Source organism: Homo sapiens, chromosome 13 (assembly GCF_000001405.40).
Source record: "Homo sapiens chromosome 13, GRCh38.p14 Primary Assembly".
In the NCBI taxonomy this organism is placed as follows: domain Eukaryota; kingdom Metazoa; phylum Chordata; class Mammalia; order Primates; family Hominidae; genus Homo; species Homo sapiens.
This window is the reverse complement of record NC_000013.11, coordinates 46,902,542-46,914,024: the sequence shown is the minus strand read 5'-3', so window position 1 is coordinate 46,914,024 and position 11,483 is coordinate 46,902,542.

Below are 11,483 nucleotides of genomic sequence, written 5' to 3'. Positions count from 1 at the left end.
GCTTCTGCTTATGTGGAAATTGGATTAAAATGGAATAGACATTTTTGTAAGGTGAGCAATACTGCCTAAATGTATCATACAAAGCACTTTCCTCTTACCTCATTAAAGTACTTTGTTCTGAAAGCAGACTGTTAGTCAGTATCATAATTATAATCCTAATTGTTCCATTTATGAAGTGCCTATCACATGCCAGGTACTATATTTGCTACTTTCCAGATGTTGTCACATTCATCCTCACAATAATCCTATGCCACCCCATTTTATAGAAGAGGAAACAGGCTCAGAATGACCTGGCTAGCCTAAGGTCACAAACGAGAGTACCATATCACCAAACAAAAGTCAAACACCTCACATATGCTTAGAAAATGGAGGAAGGAGATGGTGGTTGCCTCTGGAAAGTTTAGACTGAGAGGTGGTGGGTGAACAAGCAGAACTTTCATTTTTATATCTCTCTCTACTGCCTCATTTATTTTCTTTACAAAGAGTATAAATTACTTTTATAACAAAAACAACTTAATTCTTTAGTCTGAAAAACACCTGCTATATGAAAACATCAAATCCTTGAGAGCTAAACACAAAACAGGCACTAAGTAAACACTAGATAGAACTGAAACAAGTTAAAATATCTTGTTCTTTTTAAAAATGAAAGAGAATGATTGAAAGTAGCTAAATGTACACCATGGAATACTATGCAGCCATAAAAAATGATGAGTTCATGTCCTTTGTAGGGACATGGATGAAGCTGGAAACCATCATTCTCAGCAAACTATCGCAAGGACAAAAAACCAAACACCGCATGTTCTCACTCATAGGTGGGAATTGAACAATGAGAACACATGGACACAGGGAGGGGAACATCACACACCGGGGACTGTTGTGGGGTGGGTGGGGGGGGGCAGGGATAGCATTAGAAGATATACCTAATGCTAAATGATGAGTTAATGGGTGCAGCACACCAACGTGGCACATGTGTACATATGTAACAAACCTGCACGTTGTGCACATGTACCCTAAAACTTAAAGTGTAATAAAATTTAAAAAAAAGAAAGTAGCTAAATAGAAATGTTTGTTTACACTTGTAAAATATCATTAGATAATATATATATATATACACATACCCTTATATAAAGTGTAAAAAATATATCTAAGGAATATTTAACATGGTTTGCCATAAAAACAATCAGTTATTCTCAACTTTTGCTGCATAAGTGAATTTCCATGAGGTTTTGTTTTTAATGAAGATAACTTATAACTTAGTCTTAATCAGGTAGGAAGTGGGACTTAACTCTGGAGGCGGAGCTCTGTCACAGGACCAAATTGAGAACTAGTTTAAAACCAGGTCTGGAAGTACCCCCCAATTAGACATGCCCACCAATGTGCCATGTTTACCATTGCCATGGCAATGTCCAAAAGTTATCATACCTTTTCATGGCAAAGACCCAATGACCTGGAAGTTATCACCCCTTTTCTAGAAATTTCTGCATAGACTACCCCTTAATCTGCATGTAATTAGAAATGGGAAGAAATATGACTACAGAACTGCTTCTGAGCTTCTATGCCCACCACATTGCCTGTGGGGTAGCCCTGCTCTGTGGAATCAGTCACAGAGCCATAGCACTTCAGAGCAATTCTTTCCTAGGCAAAGCCAAGAACCCTCCCAGACTAAGCCCCACTTTAGGACTCCTCTGTCCTTCATCATTACTCCAGATGGATGACCTGAATTTAAATTTATAAGGTGGAATTAGGCATAGGAATGTTTAAAAATCTCCAAAGATAATTGTTGAATAAACCAATGATTTAGTATGCCTACTGAAATTGTTCTTTAAAAAAAAAAAAAAAAGACAGCAATTCCACTCCTAGGTATATACCCAACATACATATACTTATGTTTATCAAAAGACATATACTAGTCTGATAACAGCACTATTCATAATATCCCCAAACTAGAAACTAGTCAAAAGCCTAGAGACAGAAGAATGGATAAATGAGAATCTTCACACAATAGAATGTTATAAAGCAATCTACAGCTACAAGCAACAGTAAGGATCAATCTCATAAACGAAATGTTGAGAAAAAGTATCCAGATATAAAAGAGTACATACTGTAAGATTCCATTAACATAAAATTCGAGAACAAAACGAATTTTTGCTGCTAGAAGTCAGGATAGCAGTTACTCTTGGAGTAGGGAGTTTGGGGAAAGAGAATAAAATGGAGAATAAAGAGCATTTCTGGGATGCTGGTATTCTTCTATTTCTCCACCTGGGTGCTAATAACATGGGTATGTTCACTGGAGAAAAATCGAGCTGTACACTTAACACTATGTGCACTGTACTATGTTATACAGCAATATAATAAAAGGTAAAATATATCTAAAATGTCCATAACAAAATAAACAGGAGTTATTAGGCAGTTGAACATTTTAAAATCAAGACATAATAAAACTTAAAATATATAGTAAAGGAAAGGGTGATGTAACAGGGAGAGAAGGAGTAACAGATGTAGGCATTGAGATCCTGGCACTAGAGCATGAGATAAACTCAGGCGCATCTTTTGACCTGAAGGCCGTCTGTGTCATAGATTCTATTTTACTTCTCTTGCAGAGTCATTGCCAGGATTATTTAACATATGTATGTAAAGCATAATAACACTTGGCACTTGGTTCAATAAGCACTCATTCATCTCCATTCCTTCCTTGACTCTAAAGCAAAATATGAAAATAAGTTTCATAGAAAGCCAACTCCTATATTCTTAAATGTAGTAAGGGTATATAACCAATGTATAACTCAATATCAGTGTAAGCATACAGAATACAACAAAATGTGGACGCCAGTTCAGAATTACATAATCCCAGAGGATTTTTAGGTATTTCCAATTTGCATTCTTTTCTGCGGTGAGAACACAAATGGTGGTAGTGACTGAGCTACCAGACAGACACACACCTTCTCCAGCATCCATATCCATGAGGTGGACAATGTAATGGCTAAGAAAACACAGGCAGTGATACACCATTCAACAACCTGGATATGTTGTGTCATTGAGGAAAGGATGATAAAACTCCAACAGCCAAATCCAGATGCAACAGAAAAAACATCTGGGTATTGAAGGATTTCAAGCTGAATGGGAGTAAGCACTTCTATGTTCTCATTTAAAAGACAGCCCATTATCTGATGCTGCAAGGGGAGCTGGCATGGTTTGTCACAGCACTCTGATAGTATGGAACATCTGCCCTCACCCCCAGTTCTCATCTGGGCTCCAGGGCAGATGAGATTTGGAGAAGATTGAGAGGAGCAAAGGTTGAAATCTAAAGTAAGCAAGCAAAATTTTAAATTAACTAGCATTCTTCACACAGGGAGAAAAGTAGGGGACACTCCAACAACCATTAGGTGTGTTTGAATCAAAATATCAAGGATTTATGGAGAAAAATAACAGAAATAGATGGGCAACAAAACCAAAAGTAATAAATCTTACTGTGTGGTTTTAATGCCCTGCATATTGGTTCAATTACTGCCTTCCCAGGCAAGAATGATGCCTTCTTGACTGAAGTTATTTTGCTTTTAGAACAAATACAGTGAGGGAATAATAACTATAATTTCTGATGGCAATAAAAAAATGCCTGGAAATAAAAAGTAGAAGAAAAAGAAGTGTTTCAATGAATAAAGTTGTTTTATATTCCACAATGTTCTAATATGGTCTTGGTCACTAGGGTCAATTGCAAATGATTCTAAATGTCATGGATCATGATCATCCCCAAAATAGATCCTAAGAAAATTTGGAGGCAGTTATACGGCCAAGAGATATCAATATAGTACATGACAGTCTTCTAAATATCAAAAAGGATGACAAAGACAACAGTAAAATATCATAACTTTGCTCTTTACCTTGAAATCTTTAAAAACTTAATTTTCTAGCATCTTCCAAAAAGTAAATAGATTGCATACAAAAATTGGGTCAGGTCTGTGGCTAACAATTTAAAACGTCTGCCAAACTTTCACATACTATTACTAAGAGGACAGAAATGGGAGATGGAGATTTCTGATTTATTCTTAGAGTGATTATAATGGAAAAACATAGAAATGGAGAATTGCAAGGTGACAGAGAATTTGCTCTTCTATAGCAGGGGGTCAGCAATTTGTTTCTGTAAAGGGAAAGATAAATACCTTAGAATTTGTAGGCTGCTTGATTTCTGGCACAAATACTCAAAGTTCTGCCATAACAGCATGAAAGAAGCCATAGACAATATATAAGTGAGTGAGTATGGCTGTATTCTAATAAAAGTTTATTTTCAAAACAGGTAGCAAATATTTAGCCTGACGATCATCATTTGCCCACCCTTACTCTAGAGAGTACTATTAAAACCACCTTTCTGTTCAGTGGAATATATCAAACACCTATTTTAATAAATCTAGCCATAAGAAGGTATCAGTCCTTGATGCCATATTAAAAGCTTGGGCACTTATTCTCATAAGATACTAGCTTCCTCTTTAAGTCTTCTTATACTTAGAAAAAACAGAAGACCTTTTTTCTTGATATTTAAGCACATATTTCACCTGTTTTCATACGCTTAGAAAGCATAATATCAAAACCTTAAAATGAATGAAAGATAAATTCCTGACACAAAATAGAATTCTTAGGGGAAGAAAATCCACTCTACGTGACTGATTCAAACATGATTCATTTCAATGCGACAAAGGGCTTATAATCTAAAATATGCAGACAAATAAAAAAGAATGAAATAATGTCTTTTGCAGCAACTTGGATGGAACTGGAGGCCATTATCATAAGTGAAGTAACTCAGGAATGAAGAACCACATACTGCACATTCTCACTTATAAGTGGGAGCCAAACTATGGGCATGGGAAGGCATACAGAGTGGTTTAATAGACACTGGAGACTCAGAAGTGAGGAGGGTGGGAGGGTGGTGAGGGACGAAAAACTCTCTGTAGGGTACAAAGTACACTACTCAGGTAACAGGTCATTAAAATCCCATACTTAACCACTATCCAATTCACCCATGTAACCAAAAGCCACTTGTATCCCTAAAGCTACTGAAATAAAATAATTACAAAAAATAAAGGTGTATGCAGGCAAGACAATTTTGCTCCTTTCTCCTTTCAATGACACTATAAAAAACAGTAAGAGTTAGAAACAAATGCAGGCTCTAACTTCAACAAAATTGGTAGCCTACTGTGGCCTTGAACCACCATATATGAGAAAGGGCTGCCAAATTCAGAGGAAGTCAAAAGAATTGGCGTGGGAAGATGCCAGGAGAGCATGCCTGTGGCTACAGACCACAGACAAAGCCAGCCACATCCATTTTTCCAAGATGTTGCAAATTATGAGAGAGAACACCAACAATCTCTTTTTTTGTAACAGACTGGGGTAAGTGCACTGATGGCAAGAGCTTCCCTAATCCCATCTGGCACAGAAAAGGCAGGGAGGGATGAGAAGTCAGGAAGCAGTCGTCAGTGAGTGGGACAGGCTGACTACAGGAGAAGGTTTGCATTGATTGCTGTCCTGCAGCATCAATCTCTGCTGGCTAGGGGAAAGATTAGAATCTCTCTCCCTCTCTTGGTGGAATACTAGACATCGGAGAAGTGAAGGAGAATGAGGGATGAGAAATTACCTAATGGGTACAATGTGCACCATCTGTGTGATAGTTGCATGGAAAGCCCAGACGTCACCACTACACAAAATATCCACATAACAAGTCAGCATTTGTACCTTCTCTAAGTCTATAAAAATAGAAAATCACACATACACACACACACAAACACACAGTGGGATAAGAAGCTTGACCAAACCAGCCATAAATCCACTAAGACTAGGCTCTAGTTCTATAGGACCTATGGAGAAATTCCCAAAGAAAAAGAAAAGAACACAACAGGGAAAAAAACAAAAACAAAAACTGGCAGACCAAGAATATTCTCCCCTCCTAAAAAGTGACCATGGAGATTAGAACTGACCAAACATGACATGTATGAACATAAAGATCTTAATCAAGCAATCTTTCATATAAATAAGAGCGTGAAGCAGCAATTCAAAATCTCAAATAACCTCATGTAAGATTAGCAGGAACATCAGAAGGAAACATAACAGGAGCTGGCTCATGAAGGAAAACAAAAAGCAGTCACAGGAACGTAGACCACGTTGAAAGCAACAAGAAGAATAGACACTGCTAAAACACAGTAAGAGACAAGGGGGACAGGATCGAGAAAAGTGAGTAAGATAAATAAAAGTGAATAAAGGCAACATATACTCACTATTGGTTTCCCTAAGGAAGACAGTTTAATCAAGATAGTAAAAAGATATGTAAAAATACAGTCAAGAACATTTTAGAGACATTCGGCCAGGCACAGTGCCTCACGCCTGAAATCCCAGCACTTTGGGAGGCCAAGGCAGGTGAATCACTTGAGGCCAGGAGTTCAAGACCAGCCTGGACAACATGACAAAACCCTGCCTCTACTAAAAATTATAAAAATTAGCCGGGTGTGGTGGCGCATGCCAGTAATCCCAGCTACTTGGGAGGGTGAGACAGGAGAATCATTTGAACCCAGCAGGCAGAGGTTGCAGTGAGCCAAGATCATGCCACTGTACTCCAGCCTGGGTGCTGGAGGGAGACACTGTCAAAAAGAAGAGGAGAAGAGGGGAGGGAAGGGTAAGGGGAAGCAGAGAGAAAGAAAATTTTAGGGACATTCAAGAATTTTATCTGCAGATGAAAAGAGCGTACAATGTTATAGGAAAACCTGACACAAAACAACCAACAGTAATAGGTATTCTAGAAAACTTACTAGATATCAAAAGCTCAAAATGAATAAAAGAAAGAGTTATTTGAGCATCTAGACAAAAAGCTTAAGACACCTAAATGGGTGAAAAAAGTCACTGAACTCACACCTCTCTACAGCCATATTCAACTCCAGAAAATAGTTAATACTTACAATGTTCAAGGAAAGAAAATGTGACAAGAATTTTAGACTGATCAAATGTTATTCAAGGATAAAGACAACGTAGAACTGGTGTTGAACTTTAAATCACTCAGGAAATACATTTCCATGACTTTTCTTTGAGGAAACTACTAGAAAACAATCTTTAACCAACCATGAGCTAACTGGACAGCTATAGCAAAATGGAGGGTGGGGAATATTCAACCCATCAAACTACAGGACTAAGACCAGGACAGATATGGGAATTGTGGTCCTAAAACAGGATTTAACATTATAAACCCTGGAAATGTTTAGAAATTATATAATTAACAAAACTAGAAAGACAAGAAAGAAAATATGTATGATGGTTTTTCCTTCTTTTATAGATATTAGCTAAAGCTGGCAAATCAAGCAGTAAAGGCATACATATGCTTAAGTCAGAAGATCCATAAAGACCTTGATGAGTCACAGCTCTGCACAAGGCTATGATGAATTTCCACAGTACATTAATAGGTGTAATATTTTATCCAAACACATTATAGCCTTTGGATTTTCTTTTTGGCAAATGATGTAAAGAGAAGTACTTGATCTTTGTAGAGAAATTCTCTAGAAACAAGTTACTGAAATGCAGATAAAATAAACACTGATGGAAATGGTAAAAGCAGGGAATCTCAAACTGTGGGAAGAAGATAGTATATGGGGATATGGTCACTTTTTTGACTTAAGAAGATTGTGGCTTCCAAAAATACTGCTACATTTTTAGCCCTTGAACATTTATATATTTGTGAAATTTTTCATAAATATCTTTATGAGAAAAATAAGAATTTTGTTTTACAACGAGACAAGTTTTAATAGAGTAACCGACTGGTAGTTCATAAGATATAAAGGTGTTAAAGTTGCCAATTTAAAAAACTCCATGTTAGATGTGAGGAAAACACTAATATATTGTTGGTGGGAATATAAATTAGCATATTATTTTAGACAGCTATTTGGTGGGATCTTTGAAATTTAGCACTTGCAATCCTAATAATTTATTTAACCTGTTCAAAGAAAGACCAGTTAAATAAATTATGTTATATTCATGAGAATTCTATTACCAATCTACACATTTTTAAGTCATATGTATTATATATATATAAAATACATATAATCATATATGTAAACACTTGTATATGCAAAGAAAATAAAGGATATAAAATATGAGGAGTATGAAAGATTCTTTCAACATGGTTTGACTTTTTTACACTATGCATTTTTATAGTTAAAAATGAAATAAAGAAAGATCAAATTTACAATATAGTATCAATGTTAAATGTTTTTTAGATCTCAGAATCAAACATTAGGATTGGAAGGGACCTACAAGGACATCAAAGCCAACTCATTCTATGAATATTTCTCCTCCAGAGATTCTAGAAATTTAGTGTCCAGTCTTCTTCAACCTTCTTGTTCTGACAATTCACAACCTCCTGGTGCCTAAGTATTTGTGGTTCTGGCAGGAAGATCCCAGAACCAAGTCACCCTATCATAGTCTTGTACTCTAGGGCCAATGGCCACCACGTGAGTATGAATGAAGAATTGTACTGGCCACCTAACCACTGCAGAATGCCAAGGAGCTAAGGTGATTCCATGACAAATCAACTTTCTTGAAAAGGGCAGAAAAGGCTGCAACAGAGACACTATGTGGCAGCAAGAAGCAATGGCAATGGAGGACTGATCAGTTACCCCTCCACATAAGGTTTGGTGTGGGACTGACCTCTTTGGTCAGAGACTCCAGAGTCCTTCATCAATCTGGGGGGAAGCGGGGATAGTAATGGGCTTCAAAAGGGAGATACTAGACATCGTGTTTTAAGGGCAGATAGGAAACCAAATGATTAATTTTTACAAATATTTATCTTTTTTACTCCAAAATTATGGAGCATGTCTTACCAGACATATTGAAATACAATGTACAACCTTATCCTGGACAACACCGTCAAGCATAATTTGAGATGGAAAATAGAACAGGAAGAGTAATTTCAACTAAATTGAGATAATGTTCTGATCCATTTCAGTGGTTTCTAGGACCCCATCTGAGATATTGGTAAAAGGCTCTGAGGGGATTAAGTGCCTAAGTCATCAATATCAGGTGGACAGAGGAACAATAATTTGGTTCTTAAAAGTATCCTCATGAAGGTGAGAACTTGAATTTTCTGATATACTGGGAAACTCCCAAAGAAGGCAGTATTTCATATTCATACTGATTGACCTGTGGCTGCTGAAGCCATTGGAATGCAGAGAAACCAAGAATCTGGTCTGCCCATTCTACCCTGAAGTCAAAATTCAAGACTTCCATTCTCCCAAACTGCCACTCATCACAAAGGAGGGAGAGCATCAACGTGAGTCAAGACCAGGGACACCATTAGGCCATATTGTTAACAGATCACTGAAAGCAGCAAAGAGGTTAAAAATCTATCCTCTGAGTAGAGAACTCTCATTATTTTCATTTTAGGTGTGTCTCTTTCCTCCCATAGGCCGCTTTTCTCATAGAGCTGGTTTGATAAAATTGGTCCAAAAGGCTCCTCTTTCCAGTGGGAAGTACCTGAACCATCAGTCTCTCCCCATCCCCCACAGCATGAAGTGGGAACTGGCATGGGCTCAGAGGACAGATCTAACAGGCTGCTAGCCAGGCCCTGACCAGGAAAACAGAACCCTTACAACCCAAATGGTCCCGTCTGGTTCACTACATGCCCTCGTTAAGAATAAGAGGTAAATGTACCTCGAATGTCCCTTCAGCCACAGACACCTGACAGTTGGTGCCAGAACAAAATTTGGGATCCTGGCCAAATATCTTATGATTCAACCAATAAGCACCTGCAAAAATGTGTGAGGGTAATTCTTTGGGACTAGCAAAAATATTTTTCCTCCAATAGTTCTACATTTTTCTTATAAGAAAGGTAATCATCTTGCTCTGTAATGAGAATCTAAGTGATAATATATTCATTTCTCCCAAAACCTAGGTTATGCCTGGTAGTAAATTAGATATTTTGGGAAACACACTTTTAGATCACTGACTGGCTGAAGTGCTATTTACCTCCAGAGTAAAAATGTAAAAAATGATCTCCCTGTGACCTCAAAAAAATTGTGATGCCTCGTGAAACAACCAAGTATGACTCAGACACCAGAGCCAATGTAGCTGAGTAAAAACACAACAAAAAATAGATAAGGATGTACCCTCTGCTAATAGAGAGTCATTATTTTACAGGCCTGGACAAAAGGCCTGTATTTTTATTTGGGAAAGGGTCCATTTCCTGCAGTGTCAGTGAAGCTGGTAAGTCATGTTGCTCTGATCCCCTGCCCAGAGGGATGGCAGGGTGACCCAGACTGGCTAATTTGAGTACTCTATTCCCCTAGCTATCATGTTCATTTCAGAGATGGGCACGTGGGTCTAACCAGGGTCTCGTCTGCAAGTGAAAAATACTCTACTGCAGAGTTAAATCCTGTTTCACAGCCTGCAATTATGTAAAATCAGAACTGCCAACCACCACCTTTTCCAGTTACATGAAAGAAGTCACCTATAGAGGAAGAGAATCAGGTCAGTGAAAGGGAAGCAGATTCTAGAGGTAGCAACATAGCCCTAATAAGGTCCTTTTAGCCACTAGATCCTGCCATGCCTTAAGTTAGTCCCACCTTGGACTTGTCAATTACTTGCACATCTCCCTTGATCCTTTTTGACTTGGATGTCTGCCATTTGTCTATAATAATTCTGAATAATACAACTGCCACACCTAACAAAAACAAGCAGTTTAAAAATTTTACCTTAAAGCCAGTCTGTCTCAGCCATGGTTAAAGGATAAGGTCATCTCTGACCCTCTTTTACCTGAACTTAATTTAAATATTTTTGAAATAATTATTTTATGTTTATAAACACATGTATACTTCAGAATATTTACAAAATTTGAAATCAGCATTGAAATAAAAAAAAAATCACAACTCCTTGACCCAGGAAATATCACTGTCAACATTTGAATGTACTTCCTTCTAGTTTAGAACCACATATCCATGGTTTTTTTAAGTTGAGAACATGGACTATAGAGCTCGTTCTTATTTAACATTAGCTTGTGCACGATTTCCCACATAATGAAATGCTCTTCAAGTATATGAATCTTAGCAGCTTCACTGTATTTCATTCGGTCGCTCTCCTCCTCGAAATATTTTCTTATCTTGGCTCCTAGAACACCACATTCTTCACTTTTCCTCCTTCCTCACCAACCCCACGGTCTCCTCTGCCACGTCTTTCTTATCCCCCTTACCTCTAACTGTTGAAGAAGCTCCAGATTCAGTCTTTAAACTGCTTCTTCCTCTACTCGGATATTTAGGGAATCACATTCTACCTCACAGCTTTCAACACCACGTATATACTGACAGTTTCCAAATTTATATCTGCATCCTGGACCTCTGTACTCTATTTCAGACTCTTATGCTCAGTGTCTTATAGACATAGTTATTTGTCTTACACAGACCTCAAGTTAGCATATCCAAGACTGATCTGATAATCACCCCAAGTAAGCTCCCACTGAAGCCTTG